This window comes from Homo sapiens, chromosome 4, assembly GCF_000001405.40.
Source record: "Homo sapiens chromosome 4, GRCh38.p14 Primary Assembly".
Classification (NCBI taxonomy): domain Eukaryota; kingdom Metazoa; phylum Chordata; class Mammalia; order Primates; family Hominidae; genus Homo; species Homo sapiens.
The window spans coordinates 52,925,331-52,952,268 of NC_000004.12; the positions used below are offsets into that span (position 1 = coordinate 52,925,331).

A 26,938-nucleotide genomic window follows, 5' to 3' on the forward strand; every position below is an offset into this window, starting at 1 on the left:
GCTAAAGCCATATATATATATATACATATATATATATATATACATGATCAACAAAACACTTAATTCACATTTAAACCAAAGAGATGCTAAAATGGAGGGAGTTGCAAGTAGCTTTCTTTTTGGGAAGACCTGGGCCTGTCTCTAGGTTAGATGCTAACAGTGTGGTTTGTAGCTAGACCTTAGATCCTTCTTTTTTGGCCATACAAGGTGTGAGGCATCCCGGGCCTGGTTGCACAGCCTCCTTTGAATCTCTGCTCTGTAAGGTGCTGTATTCAGTTACTTCTAATAAGCCCCTGACAGGCTGTTCCATTAAGCCAGCTTATGAGATAACGGCCTTTTGTAAGGAAAGTTTAAGTGTCCAATTCCAGTCAATTCTCATTTAATCCACTTAGTTAAACAGATAATAAACCAGAAGCTGATTGTAACCTTTAGCCAAGCACAGTCTGTGTACTTCAGTTGCCCACTTCTTGATAGGGGAGGCCCTCAAACCCCTAGGGTGCCCTATGTTCTTCCATAACCGGGGGATGACTCATGCCTCTGTAATTTCTTTCTCTAGAGGGCTTGAGGACCTCCTGGGCAGGGGTCTAGTTACCCCTCAGATCAACAAAATAGGGCTCCTGTGTCAGCACCTACACTTCCTCTATTCCCCCCTCACTCTTCTCCATTTACTGAAGCCCCTTTCCTTCAGCAGAGTGAGAGGAATGGTTTCCATGGCTCTGTACACCGCAGGGAGCACAGTGTGGGTCCATTTCCAGCCCCAACATAATTAAAATGCAGAGAAAACAGAACAGCTTAATGATCCTTCTGGGATGGCTGAAATGAAGCTCTACTCCTTACTCCAGTCTACCTAGTTCTCTTCTGTTTGGTTCTCTCAGGAAACAGTCTTGAAGCTTGCTGGTGCTTGGGCCACCTTTTCATAAGAACCTGGTTTCCATAAGTTTGGGTTCATTACTTAGGTATTTAGGAAAATAAAACATCTTTCATCAGAAGGGTGCTTCAGTCTGGATTCGAGCTGAAGTAGCCCTTACCTGAGGCCTTCAAACACACAAATACACACACAGACACACACACGCACGCGTGCGCACCTGTACACATATGCATTTATGCAGGTCAAGCAAAAATCATGCACGTGTGGCTTGATAAGCTGGGAGTAGGAGGGCGTAGCTAGAGTAGGATTTGAAAAGTCTCCCTATTTACTGATATCATTATCTGCACAGTTCTAAAGGCCACTCAGGCCCCTCACATCTGTTTGGGAAAAGCTAGGGTCAAAAAATATACTTTAACCCTGGTCAAGAGGCTATTTTCTCATCTGGTCTAAGACTGGTCTCATTTTTCTACTGGCCTGAGTTTGAGAACCTCAGGCCCACTTTCTAGTTTGCACTCCTGCCTGCCTGCCTATCAGCAAGCCCCAACGCAGCAGGGGCCACCTCCATGGGCTCCTGGGGCAGTTAGAGAAAGGGTTGGCTTGGGGGTGTGACACAGCCAGAGAGGGCAGAGCACTGGGGGTCATGACCTCCCCCATCCATCCAGCAGTCTGACAACGCCTTTTCTCTCTTTTCAAATGATTGTTTTTAAAATGGAGTCTTTTCTCATGGCTTTCAATAAATATTTGGCAAATGAAAACAAAACTAAATGAAGTAAAAATCAAATAAACCTTAGCAAGTGGCATGATATCTGAAATTTTCTAGTGACGCTGACTGTATAAAACCCCTCTTGAGTAGGACAGTCCCGGGAAGTGCATAAGGCAAATAAACAACAATAGAAGCCCTCTTTCCAAATAAGCTTGGACTGATGTGTGATTGGAAAAGTCATTAAAAGAGGAGGATCATGGAAAATCAATCTCTCTCTTACAAACATTTCTAAATTATTCTATCCACACCTCCATATGTATAAGTACATATTCATATATGTAATCTTTAAATTAAAATATAAATGTGTTTTCATTCACTAATCCTTTGATGACAGACTAAGGTAATTTTTTTTTTTTTAGTATTGTCTGCTGATTAGAGTTCTTTTTTAAAAAACATTATTTACCATGTAAGATTTCCGACATACCACATGCAATCCCATTTAAAGTGGAACCAGAAGTTAAAGACACCTGCAGCACAATCTGAGGACAGAATTCTTCTAGATTTTAAATTGTTTTCTTCAATCTTTTACATTTGCCTTGTTCACACCTAATTCAAAAGCATTTTTATTAATGACCCATTTTTACTGAGTCTTTCAAAAACATCCAATTTGGTTTTCACTGAGACAATTTTCTTTTTGAGTTCATACTTCATCAGTATGTGAGAACATTTAATTAAATCTTGCAACTTAGTAACAAGTACAACTGGCACACACAGGTTTGAGAAGAAACACAGTTGACTTTCAGAAACACACAACTCAGCTGGGAAGAGCAGGTGTGCACAGGACATGGAAATAGCCTTAGAACTGTGATTGGTCAGGGTTTTGGCATTAGTCCTATTTTATAAAAGGATTGTGAAGTGTGAGTGATTCCGGTGACTGGGTCAGGTGGAGGCTGGTTTAGAATACATAAATTATATCTATTATATATACACATATTTATTAGATGTATTACTATATTTTACATAAATCAAAACAATATATAAGCACATATTTCTGAGGTTTTATATTTATACTACCCAGGCACTTGTATCTGTCATCAATTTCATGTTTAATAACCTAATGTGAGTTTAAGTTCTAACATAAAAAAATTATAGGCTAGGTGCAGTGGTTCATGCCTGTAATCTCAGAACTTTGGGAGACCGAGGTGGGAGGATCACTTGAGGCTAGGAGTTTGAGACCAGCCTGGGCAACATAGCAAGACTCTGTCTCTACAAAAAAATTTAAAAAAATAGCCAGTGTGGTGGTGCATACCTGTAGTCTCAGCTGCTTGGGAGGCTGAGGTGGGAGGATCACTTCAGCCCAGGAGTTCAAGGCTACAGTGAGCTATGATCACCACTGTCCTCTAGCCTGGGTGACAGAGTGAGATTCTGTCTCAAGAAAATTATAATCTAGGTTGTCAGACATCAGGTTTTATAGGGACAATTTCCCCTTTCATATTAGAGTTCTTGAGCTATGTATCACACAGCAGGACACCTCAGCAGGTGTGGAGGTAATGATATAAAGATGCCTGGATTAGTGAGGAAGGCAGACTAACAAAATTAGAGCTATAACTATCTAGGTGAGGTCACAAAAGGCCAAAGACAAATAGGCATGCACGAAGTGGGGACTCCTTCTTGAAGTCCTCCCAGAAGTCTCCCTTCTGGCTCCCCGACTATGCTGATCCCATGACTGTTGGTGCACTGAATCCTGCTTGGTGTCTTGGAGTCTCTCAGCCTATAGTTATTGCTCCTATTGTTATTGCAGTCTGCAGCCTATAGTTATTGCTCAAATGACAAAGGAAGACAGGTGAGAGGAGGCGTGAGGACATGCTCCAGTGGGAGCAGAGACTCTGGACTCGCCTTGCATGCCTAGCACAGTGCTTAGCTCACAGAAGACACTCACTACATAGTTTTTAAATAGGTGAATGGGGAAAATAGAGAGGTTATAGAAAAAAATAGTTAAATCAGACCAAAAAAATGACATAAAGCAGCAGCACTGATTTTCTTGAGCGGCTGATAAACTGTTTCTGCATGAAATTTCAAACAAAGAGCTCCCAGATGGTTTTGAGCAATTGCAGCCTACATGGGTAAGTGGATAAACTTCCAAAAAGGCTACTTGAGAAGACCAACCTCAATTGGCTGATAAATTCTGCTTGTCTATTTAACAAGCAAAACTAAACTATACGTGGTTTAGGTATACACACATATATGACAAAAACTCTGAAGTTTGTGTTTATTATTCTCCTTCTCTGTTTTAAAGAGAAGGATGGGTGAGGAAGGCAGATTCATCTGGAGGTAGGTAAGCAAAGTGCCAGGATAGGGTGGTGGATTCATGGGTGTTTATTATATAAGTATGTTTAATACCACACAGATCATGTAATTTTTATATGTATCAGCTATTATCTTAAAAATATAACAAAACAAAAACCAGTTGCACTACTTTCTAAAGCCTCCAGCAAATTCAGCTTTTTAAAACAGCTGATTAGAGGAAAAAATGTCAGCTGACAACTATTATTATTAGGCAGGTTTGGGATGTGTGATGGACATGGAAAGACTTGTACATTCAGGAGAGAATGTGACATGGTTGCAAGTGGCTGCCCAGCTAGAATTCTGAGGCTTTTTGTGAGAAATCACGTGGTGGGAAGCCTGAAGGAAGGAAAACCATCAGGAATACACTTCAGAACTTGCACAGTCTTAAAGGCAAGTTTGCCTGGCAGGGTGCAAAGTTGCCAGAGAGGCCCAGAAAGCGGGAATCCTGTTAGGGATGCAGGCACTGGGACAAGCAGCCCTTTGATCCTGAACATCTGTACTGCTCCAGGAAGCATTGCTACAAAAAGAATAAAATACCTAGGAATCCAACTTACAAGGGATGCGCTGGACCTCTTCAGGGAGAACTGCAAACCACTGCTTAAGGAGATAAGAGAGGACACAAACAAATGGAAAAACATTCCATGCTCATGGATAGAATCAATATTGTAAAAATGGCCATATATTCCAAAGTAATTTATAGATTCAGCTATTTCCATTAAACCACCATTGACATTCTTCACAGAATTAGAAGAAACTACTTTAAAATTCATATGGAAACAAAAAAGAGCCTGTATAGCCAAGACGATACTAAGCAAAAGAACAAAGCTGGAGGCATCACACTACCTGACTTCAAACTATACTACAAGACTACAGTAACCAAAACAGCATGGTACTGGTACAAAGACAGACACATAGACCAATGGAACAGAATAGAGATCTCAGAAATAAGACCACACATCTACAACCATCTGATCCAAATTTGACAAACCTGTCAAAAACAAGCAATAGGGAAAGGATTCCCTATTTAATAAGTGGTGCTGGGAAAACTGGCTAGCCATATGCAGAAAATTGAAACTGGAACCCTTCCTTATGCCTTATATGAAAATTAACTCAAGATGGATTAAATACTTAAATGTAAAACCTAAAACTAGGAGAAACACTAGGAGAAAATCTAGGCAATACCATTCAGGACATAGGCATGGGCAAAGATTTCATGACAAAAATATCAAAAGCAATTACAACGAAAGCAAAAATTGACAAATGGGAACCATCAAGGAGGTAGAAAAATAGACGATCCTAGATCATCACGAAAACAACGAAATAACCCCAACTATTTCTAAAAATTTTCTCTAAGCTGCCTAAGCGAAAAATCTCTCTAAAATGGCTCTCTTCTGACTGCCGTAACTGTAAACTAACAGTTTATCTTAAGGTTTTATGTGTTAAATAAGGGAAGTGTGGAGAACTATAAAAATATCATGATACTGTATCACAGTAATTCATACAATTTCATATATTGGTCATTAAGTTGTCTATTAAATCAAACTAAATACACTGTAGACAAAGAGATTCTGAAGTTCAGCATTCAGAGTAACTGAAATACAATGTTTGAGGTTATTTCTTTAAAAAGGTAGGCATCAGATTTTTGATCAGTTACCCTAATGTTCTATTATCGGCTGTCACCATGGGAAAATCAGATCTCTCACAGCGTTTCGACTTTGGGACCTTTTTCCAGCAATTAAACCTACTGTAAGTGGGGGAAATGCCTGTATACAGCCACTTACGCCAGGCTCAGGTTCACAAATCTTCCCATTCCCAAGGAAGGCAGCACACAGGCTCCTACTAGGAATCACAGCCAAGTTCTCAAACAGGCATATCTCACTAGAAGTGCTTCCTAAAAGGTGGATTGTTTTTATTCCATTGAATTAATTCTACTGAATTACAAACTTGCCATTTTCACTATAATAAGTCCCCTTTCAAAGTGTGTTGACATTTCTGGTGGTTCTGAATAGCTCAAAATGGTTTGCTGGACTCTCAGAGCTGACTTGAGAGACTACTTGGATCTGGTTGTTTTCAAAAGCTGTTGGGTGGTAGAGCCTGGGGAGCTATGCTGCACCTGATAGAAGAACACTATGACGTTATTACCAACTGCTTTCGTCTTCTGAACTAGGAGAAAACAAGGTACACAAAAGAGTTATCACAACATGCCCATGAGTTAAGCACAGCTGGCAGTTTTCCTGTTAATATTTGCTTACTTCTTGTTTCCCACCACCCCCCTCCGCCTCCGGGTGGGGAGTGCAGGGTGCTGCAAAAGATGAAGCAGCAACAAAGTTAAGAAAACACAGGACAGATGAAAACTTACAGTGAGGAAATTTTAATCTGCTTACTTTATTTTTCTTTGAATTGGGAAAAGACTGCCATAATTTGATTTTAGCAGGAAATAGTATTTCCCCAGTGTATAGTTTCAGAATGAATGGGCCAGTCCAGCATCTCAGAGAGAGTGACATGGAAGCCCAGATGCATCTTCTGTGGATGGTCCTTTAGAGACCTGATGGAGGCTGATCCCTCCTGCCCTCCAGGAAGCATATCTGATGTGCCACTTCCTGCAACAAGTCCCGTACCTTCTTATCCTCCACGCTGTCTCCCCCTGTATTTCATCACGAAGATATGTGGCTGTATGTGTGGGACGGGGATTCTACCTGATGCAGCTGCAGCAGAGGCCCCAGGGCTCCCCAAAGAAGACCACCTGGAAGGCTTCCTGGAGGTGCAGGCCAAGAAGGAAGCTGTGAAGGATGACATCAGGTACACTATTTCTGCTCTTTTCTGAATCTTAGCCCAAGACCAGTCTGGTTGCTGGTTTAAAAAATAGTGCCAAAGGCCCACCTCACATGGTGATTTGTTTAAAGAGATAACGTTATACTTTATTTTAGAAATGCCAATAAAATTGGAGTACAGTGTGGGAGTCATATGGTGACACTTCTGGCTGTGATGCGTCTCTGGAAAATGCTTTTCTTATTGGGTTACAAAGAATACTTCATTCAGAGTTTAACTTGTCTGCTAATTACACAAACCTCTGTCACAGCTAATTGTCCATTTGTAGAAAAGGATGGAATCAGAAGACCAAGTCATGGCATACTTAAAAGCCTTTCAAGTTACTATCTGCCTTCCCCACCTCTTGTTCTCACTGTCACTTGGAAGAGTTCTTTAAAAATCTTTTTTTTCCATTATGCTTTTTGAGGTCCAGACTCACTGACCGTATTATAGGATTCTGTAAGTATCGGGGGAATAGTAGTGTCTTTTTTTTCATATTTTTGGGGAAGGCAAGGTGGTTAATAATATGGGATTATTTTCTGATCTATTTGAGAAAGAGGCAAGAATAAAAGAAGCTTAGTGGCCTAAAGTTCCTTTCATCCCTTTGTTTCTTAGAAGAAGAGAAGGGCAATTTGAGTTTATTTTTCTTCCAGTAGCAGACAGATCAAATGAGGCCCCCACTTTCTCCCCTCCCCCAACACACACACAAATCACTCTCTGCCCCAATCTAAGGTTCCACTGCACCTGTTGTTGTAAATCTCCATTGAACCGAGCCAGCATCACTATGCCTGAAATTTAAGCTCCCACTAAATGAGGCCCCTTATCTATCACTTTTCTCTATTTTCTTTTGGAGGCAGCATGAATTAGTGTGTAGGTTAGGCATGCTTGATTCAGAGTTGGGACACAGTCCAGAGAGGGTTGCCAGTGGGCCGTGGTGAGGAGGAGAAGAGTAGAAATATTCCCCTTCTTCTCATCCCTTTCTGAGGCAAGGCTGGGCCTTGAAGGTGGATTCCAAAACAAATGCAGAAAAATCAGGGAAGCTTACAGAAAGATGTCTCCCTCTTGAAACTCACTTAGGCTCAAAGCACATTCAAGTAGCATTGCAAGCAGGGTTAGGATCTGGAAGAAGTAGGACAGGAAGCAGCAGCTCTCTCTGTTTCCCTGACCCCGAGAACAGGGCTAGACTTCCTGCTGGGGTACAGAGGCTGCTGTCTGCAGCCTTCTAGGTGCTTCTTACCCGGCCCGACCCCAGTCCAGACTTAGGCCCCCATGGAGATGCTCACTCATTTCCTTCAGCCTTTGGCAGAGATAACTAAGATGAATCACATTGTCTACAGGGAGATTTAAACTCTTAACAAAACTGAGTTATCACAAAGCTTTAGGGCTTCTAGGCTTTCACTTGTTTCTGTGCAGGGACAATTTCAAGCCCACAGCTGTTTTCATAGTTACTATGTCCACCATGTTCATGTAGGATGGGTTTGAGAGAGTGGGGCTTGGGCTCAGAGTGTAGCTCTTTCCTTCTGCAGGATGGGGATGGGGAGAGTTAAAGAACTGGTGAACTACAGCCGGCTCCATGATCTGAAGGCAGAATATGCACTGGACAGCTGAGAAGGTCTTAGCTTCTCATTTCCCAGAAACAGCAAGGGATTTGAGAGTTAGTTTAGAAATAAAAACTCTAAAGTAGTTAGAATTTCTTTTGGGCCCTGCTTTGACTTGAATGTGTCCCCCAAAAGTTCATGTGTTAGAAACTTAATTTCCAATGCAACAACATTGGGAGGTGGGGTCTCATGGGTCATGAGGGAGGAGCCCTCGGAGTGGGTTAATTATCATGGGAATAGGTTGTCATAAAGCAAGTCTGAAGCTAAGTGTCTCTGTCTTGTGTGCTTGCTTTCTCCTGCTGTGGGATGGTCTTGCCAGATGTTGGTGACATGCCTTTGGAATTTCCAGTCTCCAGAACCATAAATGGAATTTCCAGTCTTCAGAACCATACACTTCTATTGTTTATAATTTACCTAGTCTGTGATATTCTGCTATAGCAACACAAAGTGGACTAAGACCGAAAAAAATGAAAGAAAAAATGATCAACCTAGATGGACCAAGTTGGTAACATTTAAGTTCTCTTTTCCCACACTAGCATACAACCTCCTTCATTACTGCATCAAGTGCTTGCCTCTCTCCCAGTGGGAAAAAAAATGTGCAAATTGTTCAGGACCAGCCTTAATGAACAGCCATGTGTTGCCCCCCAAGTTGCCACAATGGTTTCACTGTGAGCTCATAAAAAGAGACAGGTCTCAGGCCTGCAACCAGTTTGGCATCTCATGTAGGGTCAAGCATCCAGGAGGTGGTCAATAAATGTAACATGTGGCTAGATTCAAAACACATAATTATTCTGGAAAAAATTTTTATGGAAATTGTTGGCTGTGGCTTCAGGGCTCTACATTTCCAGAGGCAGGCTGTGGCTGTCTGGTTTGTTTGTTGTGAAAAGCCTTGGGGCCCAATTTAGGCAGGAAGCCTCTAGGAATTGCAGCTCCTAGAAATGCACCTCCAGGGCCTTCTGCAAAGCTTCACATAGTCATAGTCAGCATGTACTGAGCTCTTACTGGGTTTTCAGCACATCACCTGTATTATCTGATTGCACTTTGCAAAATTTATGTTAAAAAAGGTTGGAGAAATGCACAAGGATATAAGTTCCAAGGAAGTTCATGGCAATATTATTTATAATAGTGAAAAACTGGAATTAAATATCCATTAATAGGAGGATACAAATCAATGTGTTTGATTTATTGATAAAAGAAGATGACCACGCTAGATTAAGCGACAAGAGTTGGTTGCTGAAGAGTATGAATGGACATTATTGTCCCATAGAACTGTCTGCAATGATGAAAATAGTCTATACCTGTGTGGTCCTATACAGTAGCCGCTAGCTACTTATGGCCACTGAGCACTTGAAATGTGGCCAGTGTGACAGGGGATCTCAATTTTAAATTGTATTTAACTTTACTAAATCTAAATAGCCACATGTGGCTAGTGGTTACTGTGTTGCATTGCACAGCAGTAGAATGTAAGCCCAGCGGGAACAAAGATCTTTAATTACAATGAATTGGAACTTCCCAAAACAGTGCTTGTGCTTGGCATATGGAAGGAGCTCAATAAATAGTTGCTGAATGAAACAATTGCCTGTTAAGTGTTGTTGTGTCAGGAATTATGGGAGATTTCTATTTTCCACTTTACATGCTTCTGTTTTGATTTTTAAATAAGCATATAATTTAAGTGTTTAATTAACAACAACAACAACAAAATTCTGTGTGGAGGCTGAAGCAATTCCACCTTGAAAGCTAATCTACCATGTTGGCTCCTGATCAACACCTGTTCTAGGAAGACCTCTAAGATTTCCAGTTTATCGATTGTTGCTTGTGTAAGAGCACATACTCACTGTAAATCCTGCCCTTAGGTCAAACATCCTTGATGTTGTAATACTTTGATTGTTCTACATATACCTTCTGAACCAGCCCTCCCCTACGGTATGTAAACCCTGGGTCTGGGAGTTAATGGCATGGGGATCCACCATTGTGTCTCACCGCTGTCTGATACACAGACGTGGCTTCTGTTAAACATTTAAAGTCCCTATTAAATGTTTCTTTCTAAGAAATTGGATATGTCAGCCTCTTTCTTTGGCATCTCAGCTTCCTCAGACTTTGGGGTAGGTTTTCATAGACCTGCCCAATGCAAAACAAATTCCACTTCTGAGAAGCAACACATATCTATCTCATCCTTTTCTTTTTCTTTTCTTTTATTTTTTGAGACAGAGTTTCCCTCTTGTTGCCCAGGCTGGAGTGCAATGGCATGATCTCGGCTCACCACAACCTCCGCCTCCCGGGTTCAAGCAATTCTCCTGCCTCAGCCTCCCGAGTAGCTGGCATTACAGGCATGCACCACCACGCCCAGCTAATTTTGTATTTTTAGTAGAGACAGGGTTTCTCCATGCTGTTCAGGCTGGTCTCAAACTCCCGACCTCAGATGATCCGCCTGCCTCATCCTCCCAAAGTGCTGGGATTACAGGTGTGAGCCACCGCACCCAGACTTCCTTTCCTTTTTCATGGCTGTCTAAATGACTGCTCATTTTGGCTGGTGGGGAGGAAGGCCGACTCCTGGGTAGTGATGTAATTTATTGCTGGGTACCTGGATTAACTTTCCCTAAATAAACATTACTGGGTGCCATAGCTCCACCCGCTTAAACTCATCCTCCTGTCCTTGATGCCTGGAAAAAACCATAGCCTCCATTTCATTTTTCATCAGTCAATGCAGTCTTCAGGATTTCCATATGTCTGAACAAGGTTAACAGCAGAGGGGAAAAAACCTGATATATTGTCTCTGCCATTGAAATATGGGGTCAGGTACATATATTTTTGTAATTTACAAGGTCAGCCACAGTACTGATTTATAGCCTTTCTAAGTCAATGAGTGTCTTAGTAATAAGACTCTAAAATACCTCTTCACTTCTCCTGAGCACCCATCAAGTCTGTCTGCCAACTCAGTTTTCAGTTCTCTCCTCAAGCCTTGGTGAACACCATTTAGACTTCCAACGTCAGGCTGGCCCCTCTAGCTCTGACTTATCTGCTCTTCTCCTTCAAAGCCTGACTCTAGAAGCCAACTCCAGAGCACTCTCCTCTCCACTCCTCCACCTCCTTCAGCTCATAGACATTGTATCTGCTAGATCCATGTTTCCCAAACTTCAATCACTCATTTATCACCTTCGCTTCTGCAACTTCTTTGTACTGTCTACTCCATTATTTACTCAGTCTTCTCCTGTAAGTTGACTTTAAATCAACTCATGTATTTATTAGCTGTAAGCTGATCTTCCTTTCTTTCAATAAATATTTATTGAGTGCTGACTACCGCTAGGCACTGAAGGTATAGTGTCTGTGCTCATGGAGTCTACACTTCAATGGTGAGAAATAGACATATACATGTAAATAAATCATGTGATATTAGAGGTAAGTGCTTACAAGAAAAATGGAGGTAGGGGATATTTTACATGTGGCCAAAAAGGGCCTCTTGGAGGAGTTTGCATTTTAGCAGACACTTTTCGAAGTGAGTAGGCAAACACTACAGATACCTGGGGAAAAACTTTCTGGACAGAAGGGCAGCAAGTGCAAAGGCTCTGAGGCAGGAATGTGCTTAAGTTCTAGAAGAGCAAGGGGGCCAAGTGGCTGGCTGAGGGGTAGGGAATGCAGAACAGGTGAGAGAGGCAGAGAGGGCCAGATCATTTGGGGGCAAGTACAGAATCACAGACGAAGGAGCAAGAGAGACAAGAGCATGCACATGGATGAAGGCTGGAAAGGAAGGCACATTCACAAGCCTGAACTCCTTCTTAGGCTGATAAGTGGACTTACGTGGGGGCACCAGGAGAGAAGCAGACCATCTGCAAGGGGCTCCTGTAGAGAGCACACAAGCTCTGCACTTCACATGACCATTTTCAATGTCTCCTCCATCCCTTCCCGACAGTAAGAACATGATGAAATTCAGTGGGACAGAAAGCCACATTCTGAAACACAATAATCATCCAAATTGCTATAGGAGGAAGCTATAGCATGGCTTCATTGTCACCAGCCTCTGTTGTGAGAGGCTCAATATTGTAATGCCAGAGTCACCAACTGAGGGTGTGAAGAGGAGGGAGGAGAGTGCCAATCTCAGAAGCTCGACATGGGCACCTCTGCTGGATTTGATTGAAAGTGAGCTGGCAAGTGAAGGAAAAAATGAAAATCCTTGACCAGTGAGGTTACTTACTGGTTCATTCTGGATCCTGAAAATTCAAGGTTGGTTAAGGTAGCTTTAAGAAAAGGAAATTTTCTTATTATTCCAATAAAGGAATCAAGAATTAAGCCGATGTTTAAATTTCACAAAGGTAGTGCTCATACATTGATTCATACATTGACTCAACAAATATTTACTAAGTGCCTGCCATGTGACACTGTCCTAAACATGGGTTAGAACAGCAAACAAAACATAAAAACTTCTGCCTGCATCACACTTCCTCTGCATTTCTCCACTGTGTCTAAAAATGATGAAAATAGTTAACATTTATTGAGCACTTACTATGTGCCAAGTACTGTTCTAAGTACTTTATATGTATTAGTTCATTTACTCCTCAGAGCTGTTCTATGAAGTAGGTACTAGCATTATCCCCATTTCACAGATGAGAAAAATAACAGAGAGGTTGAGTAACTTGCCTAAGGCCAAGCAGCCAGTCAATGGCAGAACCATTATTTGAACCCAGGCAGTCTGAGCCCAGAGCCCAGACTCCTAAATGTTATGTTTTTACTATTGCAGGAAATCAATAAACACTGAAATGACTATGATAAAAAGTATAGTACAAACACAGTAAAATAGTCCAAATTTAAATAAATGGCTAGGAGAAAGATCAGTTTAAATTATGACAAACCTACGAGTTACTTAGAAACTGCACTTTTATTACCTGTAAATACATATTGATACTAGGGCTAATCTGTAATATACTAACAAGCAGAGGTCTGTACTGCTTGTTGTGATGAACCCTTAAAATTAGATTCCAACTCAAGTGCCCTATAGCTAATAACTAACACTTAATGTCCTTAAAATAATTTTTTATTCTCTTAAGCAGGCTAAGCAGTTGCCATTGTAATTTTATTGATTTTACTCTTTTGTTCAACAATCTTCACTCTCAATCTAGATTAAAGTAACCTAAATGAATAAGGTTTCATTGTGTTTCAAAGTCAACTCATCTTAAATATTGCTGGACTCGTCATCGGTGTTCAGCAATATACCAGTTCTCCTCTTCCGTGTGTGGTAGGATTTTACTCTTCTCTGAATGAGGTAGGGATTGGGCAGTAAAACATGAGTGGCAGGGACATGTGCCACTTCTGAGCTGAAGCCTTTAAAAGCCAGTGTCTAATTTACCACTCCCCCTTTTACCTGCCTCAGTGATCATGGAAGCCAGGGGACTTCTGGATGTCTGGCAGAACCCTCATAGATCTGAGGTGGACCCATAGCACAGTCAAGAAACCAGCCATTGTTTTAAACTACTGAGATTGTGGGGTTGTTTGTTATTAGCACAACCTAACAGATACAAATGCCAACCCTCCACAGTCTAGGTGAAAAAGAAAATGAATAAAGAATCTATGCAGCCAATTAGAAAGAAAATAGAAACAAACATTAATTGGCCATTATGATATTTTAAATATTTACAGGTTATCACACCTAATCTTCTTGGTATTGGCAATACTGAGAAGTAGGTATTATTTCCACTTTATTTCTATGGAAACTGATGTTCAGAATTGCTAGTAAGTGACAGAGATGAGATTCCAATCCAGGCTTGTCTGAATCTTGTGATTATACTATGTTGTCTATAAAAAGCATATGCAACTAGATTACTCTAAGGGCCAAACATAGGAACACTAGGAGGGAAAGGCATTCAGTCACTGAGTCATTCTCCAAAAGGGATAAGATGCTTACTATGTGTCAGGCATTGTGCTACGAATCTCAGAGTGAACAAGACAGTTCTGTTGATGAGCTGACAATCTAGTGTGGGCAACAGACAAGTAAAGTGGTAATTTCATTATGGTGTGATAAGAGCCATTTGACTAGGGTAAGGATGGGTTTGGACTTAAGAGTACACTCAAAGGAATGGAAGAAAGAAAAAATGAAAAAAAAAAAGCAGAGAAAGGAAAGCTAGGAAATAAATGAGGAATAATGGCCAAATAAAGAAGCACCATGAACGTCATCATCTCTTCCTGTCCAGATTTGCACACATTTGGTAAGAATATGCCATATGTTTCACCTTGGCACACATAACTCTGGTGGCATGCTGCCACTGGCTGGTGACATCAAAGTCACCTGTGAAAACCAAGAGAAGCTCTGCTCTGCTGTTAACAGCAGTCCCCAGCCCAGCTGGCTTAGGAATTCAAACCCAAGCAGGGAGCCTACATTCCCTCTAGGGCAGCTGGCACCCCCAACTCAGGAGGACAGAAGGGCAATTTGCTTGCTAGTCTTCCCTGCTGGGCTACGACTCTTGGTCACATTTATCAGAACTTTACTATGCCTGACCTGCGAGCTACTCAATAAATGTTGATTGGTTGCCTGATAGAATGAACAGCCGTTGGGGTGGAAAGGTGCCTGAGGAACCTCAGGTGCTGTAAAGCATCAAGAGGCCTGAGCCCCTTTAAAACCCAGCCAAGGACCCCAGAATGGCTGGGGCTTGTTCCGACTACACTCAGCATGTATTAATAGATCTGCATTCTCAGTTTCACAGGGAGATCCCTCCCACATGGAAATTAAGAAATAAATGGCTCTCCTGAGTGGAAATGTCAGAGTAGGGGCTGCTAGGTCACAATGTAGGACCATGTGAACTAGAGAGACAAGTAAGTCCCACATTAGAAATTAAAGACACAGTCCGTATCTGGGCAGTTTGACAATCTAACTATAGAAGGGTTAATGCATAAGGTAGATTAGAAGATGACCTGGGAGGACTCTTGTAATCTGGGGATTCCAATTGCAGCTAGAAAGAGGAATGTAGCTGAAATGACAGGAAACATGAACCACTGCTCGTAAGTTCGGATTTCAGAAGAGTACCCCTGTGTCCCTATTAAACTGATTTTTCTGAGGGCTCGGCCAGGGAACAATCTGTTTTGTGGTAATGCGCAAAGGGACTTCTTGTTGTAGGACTAAGCACTTATAGGAGAAGACACAAACTGATAGAAAGTGCGGAAGGGACGAGCATTTTAAGGTAGAAAGAGTAGACACCACCCTGTGGGAGTAGGAATGAGCATGTTCTTTAGGGGAGGACTGGTTAAGACCCTTGGGCACGCTCTTTCCACTGTTAGAAATGCCCTTCTGATCCTGTGCCTGGTAAACTCTCCTTCTCTCTGATATATCAGCTCAGATGTCCCCTTTCCCATGACACCTCCCTTGATTCCCCCGGTCCTAGATAGCAGTTTTACAGCCTAAGTTCTGAGACCCTCTATCCAAGCCATAAAAAACCATGCTAAATCCTGGCATTTTTTTTTTTCCTGCAGAAGAGAAGGTAGCCTCACACCCCTTTTCAACACAGTTCCAGAAAGATCTTTTCAGCTGACAAAATTAATTAAGCACATATTAATTGAATACCTACTATGCAGCATATAGTTTCTAGGGGATGTAATGGTGAACAAGACAACATACATACCTGTTTCATGGCTCTTATATTCTAGCTGAGGAGACAGATAATGAACAAATAGATATGTAAGTAAATGTTAGAACGTAATAAGTACTCAAAATATAAACAAAGCCGTGCATGGCAGAGAGGGTGATAGCTTTTCTGACATTTATTTCTGCTTCTTTTGGTGGGTCTTTCTATATAACAGAGGCTGGAAAACTAAACACTCAACTTCTTGGACTCCTTGCCCAGAAGCTGAGATGCTCCCTTGGTAGTCTTAAGAAGATCCCAGAAATACAATGTTGAATTATTACCCCACTGTGTTAAACCTAACTGTCTTCATCATTGGACAGCGAGTATTGGGAAGCCAGACACTCACTCCGGTTCACTTATCTGGCACACAGAAGGCACATGCCAAATGCTTGTTGAATGAATGGCTCCATCTGAAACAGACTGCCTAGCTTAAACAGAGGGCCTGCCCTGATAGGGATGAGGGAAATTTACAAAGTTAGGATGTGGGCACAAGTTACCCACTGCACAGTGCATGCTAAGAGGCCATGTGAATACTACAGGTTGAGTATCCTTTATCCAAAATGCTTCGGACCAGAAGTGTTTCAGATTTAAGATGTTTTGATTTGGGTTTTGGAATGTTTGCATGATACTTACTGGTTGAGCATCCTTAATCTGAAACTCTGAAATCTGAAATGCTCCAATGAGCATTTCCTTTGAGTATCATGCCAGAGCTCAAAATGTTTCAGATTTTGGAGCATATTGAATTTAGGTTTGGGATGTTCAACCTGTTTATACTAATTAAAGAGAAGCTACTGCTGATTCTTTCACAGGGCCAAGAGTTTGATGAAAATGGTATACGAGAGGAAAGATTTTTCTAGTGTCTATGTGTGGTAGGATTGGAGTATACAGAAAGTGGAGGAAAAGAACTAAAATCTTGACTCTAGATGGTAGAAAGTTGGTTGTCAAAGAAAAAGGAAAACAGCAGGCAGAAGCTACAGAATATTTGGCAAAAGATTAGCTTTTTAGTTTTTAGCCAAGGGACAAGGGGGAGAGTGGGTTGTGGGACATAATGGAGAAGCTGGAAAGTGTGTGCTAGTTTGAAAGAAGCTGAGAGTTCTGATTCCAGCACCAATGTCATGCTAGAGGAACTGGGAGCTGATCTGGACAGATGTGACTATCTTAGCTGGAAGTGCTAACTTAGGAGAGGTAGAATCATGTGGCTGTTAGGAGCAAGGGCCAGGGAGCCAGGGAGACTGTTATGAGTCCTGTTCTGCCATTCATTAGTTGTGGGGGCCTGAGCAAATTACCTGACTTCTCTGGGCTTCATAAATTCAATATGGGTGATAAAAGTACCTCCTTCATAGGGTTGTTGGGGGAATAAATGAGTTACTATATGGAAAGCCCTTGAAACAGTGCCTGACACTGAGAGAAAGGCAACTTTGTTAAAGTTACCTTTACGTAGCACTCTCAATGAATGACATCTCAGGAGGAGAAGTACAGAAGGGAGAGGGACTAAGGTCCAGGGAGAAAGTATTTCACTCCACTTAATATAACTCAAAACAAGTGGGCTAGCAGTGGCTTGGCCTTGGAAATATTCTGAGCATTTTGATATGAGAATATTCCTCATCAAAATGGGATTTGCCTATATAGGAAAGCTTATAGATAGCTAAGGATATGACCTATATAAATCTGCCATGGAAAGTAAAAGCAAAAAAAAAAAAAGTCATTAAGCACAAGGGAATTTGGTACTATCTGAATTTGACTTTACCTTGATACTACTAAATAAAATCTCCTAAAATGGTAAAAAATAATTTAAACAAAACAAAGGTATGGGAGTAGCCCAGTGATTCAAGATGGTATGCCTGACACAAGAAGGCCAGCTGCAGCCCCCAGCTTCTCTGGCACTAGTGTCAAGAGTATGCCTTACGGAATGTGCTGAATTCCAAACATCCCATATTAAAGAAACTGTCAGTAACTCATGCCTTAAACAAAACAAAACAAAACAAAACAAAACAAAACAAAACAAAACAAAAACCCTGTTAAAGATAGGCATTAAGCTTATGCTAGGTATATGTTTTAGTTTGTTCTGTGCTGCTATAACAGAATATTTCAGACTGGGTAATTAATAAAGAACATAAATTTACTTCCTCACAGTAAATTTATGGATGTTGGAAAGTCAGTGTCAAAGTGCCAGGTGAGGGCCTTCTTGCTGCATCTTCACAGGGCGGAACCAGGTGTAGCTTCTCTTTAATTGATACATAGTATTAATCTGGCCTTCAAGCACTCACCATGCAGTGAGTAACTTGTGCCCATATCCTAACTTTGTGAATTTCCCTTATCCCTAACAGGAAGGGCAAGAGAAAACCAACCCCCTCCATAGAGCCCCTTTATAAGGGCACTTAATCCTCATTCATAGGGGAGGAGCTTTGTTGGTCTAATCACATCTTAAAGACCCCACCCCTTAATACTATCTTATTGGCAACACTTGAATTTTGGAGGGGACACATTCAAACCAAACCCTAGCATATTAGGCTGACATGAGGAGAGACCCTGAGCTCACCATGCAATGGCTCTGTATCACCCATCTTGGCTTCCTTCTTCTTCTCCCAACCCTTCAATGTGCCTAAAATAGAACCATGTGGGAGGGCTGAATTCAGACACATGGTATAGCTTTATTTTTAGCCCATTGAAAACATTTGTTTATCAAACAATCACATGAAATGAAAGCCTAACTACAAGAGCTCCAGGATGTCAAAATGTTAAAAGTACAAACAATTATTTAGCAGATAAACCCTTAGAAACTGACAAGGATAATGAGCACTAAAAATATTCTTAATGGGCCTTATTGAATGATAGATAACACTTGTAATTTTAAACACATTCTGTCTCTTTTAGTTGTATCTGGATTAATATAATTATATCATATGACCTCTCAATATTTATTTTATGTCATTGTGGACTAAGACTGAGAATTCTCTTGTTTCTTTATTCATACAAATTATGTATTACTGTTTATCTCATTTGTCAAAAGATTTCCATACTGCAGAAATGTTATTGAGTTCTATACCAAAATGTCTCTGGTTGTGGGAGAAGACATTGAAATTATATTGCTTTTATAACAATCATGTCTTAGAAATGTTAAGTTCCTTCTTATGCCCAAATATCTGGGACTTAAGAGAAGAACCATGACAAGTAGGGTTAAAACCACTAAAGGAAGAGACCATAAGACAGAAAAAGATAATAGCTAACTATATTATTCAGTTCTTTAGGGTCCATGCTAGAGAACTATGCAACACTGTAAAGAGATAGATGTCATGACTCTTTTATTTAAAAGATTGAATTACCTATGTCTGTTGTTCTAATGACAAATTTATCATCTAAATTTTGCTCTCAAGGACAAAACTGCCTGGTCTCTCTTTTCACATGTTTAACATAATAGATACTCTACTTCAACTTTTGAATTTAGTTTTAAATATATTTCACTAAAGTGCCTGGCCACTGTTGCCTAATGCTTGATCAGAGACATCCCTCTGAGGAGAGCTATAGGTAGGTGAAGTAACCTCCAGGTTAACTGGTGGAAGGAGAAGGTGGCCTCCTTCTGAAGTCCCCTCCCTGGAGTCATTAAATGTCTTTGAGCTACTCAGAGATAATCAAACCTTCCATGTCCACCTAGCTGCAGATATTTCTTGACCAACTCCTGTATCAATAAGTAAAGACTAAATTAATAATATGGAGTAATATGCAGTCACTAAAAAAGCTCTATAGAGTTATCTGAAAATAACTAAGACATATTAAGTGGAAGAAGCAAGCTGTGGAACAATATGCAGAATATTATGTCATAATGCTTTAAAAAGCTCTATATACTTCTAAGCATTTCTTTGCAGATAAATTTGTATGTGAATACTTACAAAAGAATGTAGAAGACTACATCAAAACTGATGAAAGGGGTTACATATGGAAAGGGGTGAAATTAGAAAAAGAGATCTCAAGAGGGACTTGTGCTTTTATCTCTATTGTTTAAATTTCATTCGAGATCACATTCGTATGCTATAAGCATTATGAATCTTATTTAATTATATATTTAAATTATTTTTCTTTAGAGAACTAAAGGCACAGCCCAGAAAATCTGGTTGGAATGCCTTGTTTTTATATCCCCAGCCCACACTTAAGATTTTCTCTCCCCAAATCCTCTCCCCCTCAACACATATATTTTAACTTAGTCTGGTAAAATAATTCCATATCCTTGTCATGGCAATGAGTATGAGGATGTTAACACTGACCTTTTTACAGATGTTTCTTTTTACATTAATACTTAGTGTTCATCCATGGAAAAATGAGTTGTACTTCTGCTAATGTCAAGGGCAAGACTCAAATTCAAAAAACATCACCACTACCAATAAACAAAACCAAAGGGAAAGGATTCCTTATCAGCAGACAGTTACAGCTCCCACTAGGACACTGCCTTCTCAGCGGCTTCAGTTATCAGATATTCCTGGACATACTTTCCAAGCCATGAAAAATAACGTAAGTTTCAAATGGGATTATTATTTTACTGACTTTAAATTCAATTCTCTTTTTCTTTCTCTAACCTTTCAGTTACAGAAAGACTCATGAGAATTTTAACATTCCTTTCTCTTTTTTCAAGAAGGAATAATGAGTTTGGGATTTATACATCGAACATTTTGGGGGGTTATATTCTTTTCTTTTCCCTAAATTAACTGATTTTAAAAAGCAAATGCTGCATCCTTTTAAAATAATCTTTTAACTTTTTTAGTTTTAGGAGAAAATAAAACCACGTGCATTTGGAATAAGTTACTATCATGGAAAAATGAAATAGGTTATTTGCAAAAAATTGAGACAATAAGACTCTTGCTTCAAAAGCATAGAAAATTATCACAGGTGTCTAATGAATCTCTTGGCATGGTACTAGGGATCTGCATTTTTAATACCACAGTTAGTTCTGATGGTTTGCCAGCTATGTTTTCCTTCTTGGTATAAAATGCATTTTCTAAAGCTGTGATTATCAGCCGTGAACATCATAGGTTTATCTCAGTATGCCAAAAAGATCCTTAAGATCTCATAGGAAAAGATTCTAAAATTTTCCATTTAAAAAATAAATATATAGAGTACTTTCAGAAGGATAGGAAATGGCATGTTTCAAAATTACCAAAGTATTCTTACTCTAAAAATGTTAGGAATATTTGCCCTTTACTTCTAAAAAAAAAATTTGATGAAAATACCTAAAATTCAGAGTTCCTTCTTAAGCAAAGAGAAAGGAGTATCAGAGTTCTCAAGAATTTTTCTGTAATTAGGAATAAAAATGACTTATCATCATAACAACTAAGATTAGGGTCATAAACAATCACTATGTTTTCATCTCCTTAACCAAAAATATTAATTATGTTTCTGTAGTTTACCATAATAAAGCCACTTATTTTAATTTCTAGAAAATCTTAAGAGTTAAAAGAAATAGGCTCTCATCTTTTAAAAATCCTCATTTACCAGGATTGGAACCTCCTAGAACAAAGGATTAGCATTATTACTATTCAGGACTCAGGGATTGTTTTTCTTTGAGTCTTAGGTACTTATGGTTGGAAAGCTGGGAGGATCAGGAAAGTAGACATCAGAAGAAAAGGGTAATAATCTTTGGAATGAAATTGGTTGGGCATGTCAACCTCAGCAGGCTCGATGGCACTGTCCTATTCTATTTTTGCATCTCTGTCCTGCTGACAGTTTCCAGCCCATGCAGGCTGCTCACTGTGCCCTGGTGCATGTGAGCGCTTTCATTCAGGCCATCTCAGGGACTCAGCTGTCAGAGCTGAGTTGGCTCCTGCACTGTTCTTACAGGCTTTCTTCTCCCTAATTACATATATTTGATCACTCAGCTAGAAAAAAGTCTTGGCAAACTGCACTACAATAATCATTTCTCCCTTCAGCTCACCATCAAGAAAAATATCTGTCATGATGAACTCAAGATTTGTTGAAGGATGGCCATTCGGAAAGGGCTTTCCATTCACGGGGAAACTGACAGACAGAAGCCAGAAGTCATTTCATTATTTAGAGCGAGCTCCGGCCTTCATAGGCTTATGGCAGTTGAAACTCAGGTTCCATCAGGCATTAGTATTGTAAAAATACCAATTCTCTACAAATTGATCTAGCAATTCAGTACAATTTCAATGAAAATCACAAAGTGAAGTGTGTATGTATAATTTTACAAATTGATTCTAAGACACCTATGCGAGAGCATATGGTTAAGAATAACCATGAAAAATTTGAAGAAGAACAGACTCATTATACATATATAGTAATTAAGACAGGGTGGTATTGGCACAGGGATAGACACATTTAGATGAATGAAACAAAGCAGAGGGCCCACAAACAGTTCCATGCACATATGGAAACTTGATATACTACCAAGATGGCACTGAAATTCAGTAGGGGCAAGGATGAACTACTTAGCAAATGGTGTTCGCAAAAAAACGATATAAAATTTCATCCCTAGATTACAAATTTCATGGAAAAAAAATACAGGTGTACTAAATGTGAAAAGGCCAAAACTTTAAAATTAAAAAAAAAAAATTGAAAGATACCATGAACAGAGTGAAAAGCTAAGCCTTAAGCTAGTATAAGGTATTTGTAACATAAAACCAACAAAGGATTACATAAGTAAACAAAGAAATCAATAAGAAAATCAATTGGAAAAATACAAACAACCAAGTAGAAAAATAGGCCAAAAAAAAAAAAAAAAAAAAAGCAGGCAAATCCTAGAAGAAATCATGTGAATCACAAAAAATCACGTACAAAAAATTCTTTACACAGGATCAGGGAAGAGAGAATGACACAAATTTAAAGGTGTGATACTACCCAAATCCATATGGGATACAGCAGAGGCTGGAACCCTGAGGTGGGAGAGTGTAGTGTTGTAAATAAAATAGAGGGATTAAACGAGATAAAGGCTATTACATGCCTGGAACACAGCAAGTGCTCTGTTAATGCGCTTTCTCTTCCCTCTTTTGTCCCCCTGGCACATGGCTCTTAATCAGCAGAGCCACAGCTTTCCCAGCACTCTGACAAACATCCATGAGCCCCCAAAGACCGGGAAGTAATGATGATGCAGCTGCGGCACCATAGAAGAAACAAGTGATTTCAGTCAAAGGGCCTGGACTCACGAGCTAGCAACTTTGGACAGATTCTTGAACTCTCAGCCTCAGTTTCTGCTTCTGTAAAGGGAGATAACTACAGTGACCTTCAGGTTATCTTGAAGATGCCAATGAGCTAGTGAAAATGCAATTTAATCTGTACAGAACTAAACAAATGTAAGTCAGTGCTAATATTCTGTTCCTAGTGGGGACATGCCAAGTCTCTTTACTGCAACCAGTGGTTCACATATGGAAATATTGTGCTAATTTCCAACTCCTACTTATATATATGATTTGTTAACTCTGGAGGATGCAGCCATCAGCATAAGCAACCAACAGAAGAACACGCTGGATCCTCTCCTTTTCCTGACAGTGTGTAGTCTTCATGGGGGTGGACAGGCTAGATTTAAAACGATGGGCGGATTGATTATTTTTCTGCATCTATTTCCAGGGTTGTAATGTATATTCTCTTTCTCCCACATCCCGCCTTCTATTTTCTTCTCCCTACACAGGCTCTTTTAATACAAATTAATTAAAAGCAGGCATCTTAAGAGGTGGCTTAAGAAGACTCCTGCATCATCATAGGGAGTTAAAATTCTGAGCAAAAAGCCTTCTGGAGGAGAAGCATAGGACAGGCAGCCCCAAGACTGGACTGGATAGATGTTGCTGAGCCACCAACTCTCTGAGGGACCTGAGACAAAGCCAGGTGACCTCACCAGTGCTCCATGTTCTCACCATAAGTTCTATAGGACACTCAAATATTCTCAGGACATCAGTTTACTATACACATGCACACACACATATTTTACATTTCATTCAAAGGGTAAAACATAGACTCCCTTTGTTCTATAAACCTACAAACATGTCTGAGCATTTTTTACATAAATATTTCACAAATATTTTACATGAATACTTCGACTTATAAGTCCATATTTTAACAATGGCATCTTTTCCAATGTGTACATTATGGAAGTGTGGTTGGGGTGTACAGCCTAGGAGCTCAGGGACTGCACAGGCCTGTTCTTTATGGATGCATTGCATTCATCTCCCACAGCCATTTGTAGCTTCAGCTGTTTCTGAAAGCAGCCACTTTCCCTTTTGATGTCTGAGGTCCATTATTTTCATTTTTGACTTAACCAACAGGTGTTCTCTCTTGAACTCTTTCCTACATGAGCTGTCTTGCCTCAGGGTTCCCACGGACAGGAGAGTTTTTCCTACAGTGTTACTGAGAGGCACAGAGAAATCAGTTCCTCCTGGTCCACTGGCTCCGCTCTCAGCACTGCAGTCTCTTGTGACCACGCTGAAGTCTCAACGTTTCCCCCTTCTGAGGACATGCAGGGACAGAAGGGTGAACCACAAGGGCCAGACCTAATGCTCCAGGAAAACAATGAAAGAACAATTTTCCATCCTTTTATTTAGGGCTTAAGTAAGCCAGGCCTGTAACACCAAATTGTGAGAGTGCACAAGATGTTTTTGAACCTTGGTGCAGAATCCAGAAAGAAGTGCAGCCTCTGGTGACAGGGTCTTGGGCTAGCCATGTGAAGCCTGGCTTTATGTCAGGCCTCTCAAATGTGCTGTACAAACCTACCTGCAGGTCTACTCTAGGCAGAAGGGGTGGACCGATGGCACCAACAAACACATCTGTACACACAACAGTGCAGCAGACACTTGTGGATGGGGTATGAGACAAGCTGTAGATGCCCTCAATTAAATCTGAGGACAAAAGAAGACTGCCCAGAGAGTGGCACTAGCATGGCAACAAAATATTTCAAAATATTAATGGGTTTTACATACACGCATAAAATCACATTTTTCTGACCTTATAACACATTTCAGTCATTTAGGTATTGAGTTTGTAATGCTTGTGGATACTCGAAAAATTGAAAGAGGCAAAGTTAGACTTCTTGTCCCCAAGACTGGAAATATGTCCCTTCGTTGGGAGTTGGGTGGTGTTGAATGCAGTTGGGGTGGAAGGAGAGGAGAGCTAATGGGAAAACAAAGAATAAGTAAATGTTCTACATTCCTGAGAAAAGGGGCCCTGCCCCCTAGCCATCTCTGCAGCAAAGCCCTGGGGGAGAGAGAGAGAATGCTCAGACATGTTTGTAGGTTTACAGAACAAAGGGAATCTATGTTTTACCCTTTGAATGAAATACAGGAAAGCAAAATACCTAGAGCAGAAATGGCTGTGTGACATGTCAGACAAGGTCATAGAGTTTTCCATGGCCCTGCACTGCCCGTGGCTCATGTGGCATGACTGTAGGTGAAACCCAGAATGGACTCTCAAGGTGCCCTGGGCTCCCTTCCTCAATGGCTGAAGAAGGCTTCTCTTGACCTAATGGAGTTTAAAGAGACTTGGGGATATAGTGAACTAGACCCCAGAAGCCTTTCAAACAGGAACTAGGGGGCGCCCACCAGGACCTTGTGGACTGACAGTGGAGGCTCAATGAGACAAAATGTGTCATGGAGATGCCTTCAGGACAGACAGCATTCGGGAACAGATACCAGCTCCTTACAGTCTTGGCCTCCAGATTAGACATGGCCCTGGAAAAAGGTGATGGGGGACCTGGAATTACCAGACAGCAATTCCGTTCCCCCACTTAGTGGAATGGGAGCACAACATGTAAATTAAAGGAATTAGAGAAAAACATTTAAAGTTGCATTTGTTATACACCCGAACATTTATCCTGAGACTGATGCCCACTACACTGGTAAAATCAACCCATAATAGATGTGTTTAGTTTGGGACTAACATACTCTAAGAGGTGGCTTTGATTGATTGATTCATTCATTCATTAATTCTCTCCCTCCCTTCCTTCCTCCCTGACTCACCAAAGAGCCAGCCATTCTGCTGAGTATTAGCAATGTTTTTCTTTAAAAAACTCCAAACACCTATTTCCTGCCCTCAAGATTTAGAAGTTTGGCTAAGACACGGAGAAGCATAGAGAGGCAGAAACAGAAACACTGACGACTAAATCTAATGCAACATGGTAAGGTCTATAACCAACATGCATACTACATTGTCTAAGAGCACAGAAGAAGGCTTGTTAACCTGAGACTGGGAAATCTTTGAAAACTGACAACTCCAATCTAGCCAACCAGTACCCTTAGAAAGACTAACTTACGATTGGAAAGCTGTAATCGACTCAATTATATTGAAAATTTGGGGGGATGTGTTGTGGCAGAAGCATCATCTGCATACTGACTATCTGTAGGATCCACCTAATTTTCCAGCCCCCTAGCAGTTAGGAGAAGTCATGTGATTAGTTCTTGTCAAGAGTCTGTAAGAAGTGATACTCCAAAAGCTTACACGAGACCCTCCAGCTCAGCTCTTCTTTCCCCACCATAGTTTCTGTGGAGACCTCAAGATGGTGCAGCTTTGAGCTGTCTGAGCCTCCATCAGCCTGGATCTTTGAGAAAGTATGTGAAACACAAACCTCACTGAGCCATATTGAACATGTAAAATCAGCAAGAAATAAGGTCTTAATTGAATTAAGTCCTTGAACTTTTTGGGTTAATTTGTTACTGCAGCAAAACTTAATGGCGATGGAGGATTAAAAAAGGGAGCTGGATTACAAAAATGCATTTCAACACTGTGCAGAGGAGAAGGCGCTCTACCCCTAGGTGATCAGTATCTTAAGAACGAAGAGATGATGGAGTGGCAGGCCACAGAGTGATATCTGTACACGGAGACAGTACCTAGAGATGAGCTCAGATGCCAGGTTGGTAAGAGAAGCCTGGACTAGAGGCAGAAGACAGGAGGAAAGCAGGAAAGCCACACTTCTACTTTCTCTCTGTTCGTCTGTCTGAGTAGTAGCCCAAAGCCACTCCCTACCATATCCCCTCTCACCTCCCCATCCCCTCTCACAGCCCCATCCCCTCTCACACCCCCATCC

General features: G+C 40.7%; 1 protein-coding gene and 1 long non-coding RNA gene across 3 annotated transcripts in view, besides 1 other annotated feature; one reads left to right on the top strand and one right to left on the bottom strand.

Annotated features, from left to right (window-relative positions):
• Window positions 1–26,938, bottom strand: part of SCFD2 (sec1 family domain containing 2) — a 493,080-nt gene that overhangs the window by 52,349 nt on the left and 413,793 nt on the right. The window lies entirely within an intron of this gene.
• SCFD2-AS1 (SCFD2 antisense RNA 1) lies at window positions 1,982–25,692 on the top strand. 2 transcript variants are annotated; one of them, XR_245255.4, is made up of 3 exons: window positions 1,982–6,716; window positions 20,223–20,430; window positions 22,950–25,692. It is a non-coding gene; the product is annotated as an SCFD2 antisense RNA 1 (long non-coding RNA). The 2 variants fall into 2 exon arrangements; XR_001741692.3 differs by having other exon boundaries at window positions 22,953–25,692.
• Window positions 24,950–25,887: an enhancer, noted in NCBI's record as "NANOG-H3K27ac hESC enhancer chr4:53816447-53817384 (GRCh37/hg19 assembly coordinates)". NCBI's record gives its function as "activates a minimal SCP1, AML or CMV promoter by ChIP-STARR-seq in naive H9 embryonic stem cells {active_cell/tissue: H9 hESC(naive)}" and the evidence as "EXISTENCE:reporter gene assay evidence [ECO:0000049][PMID:30033119]".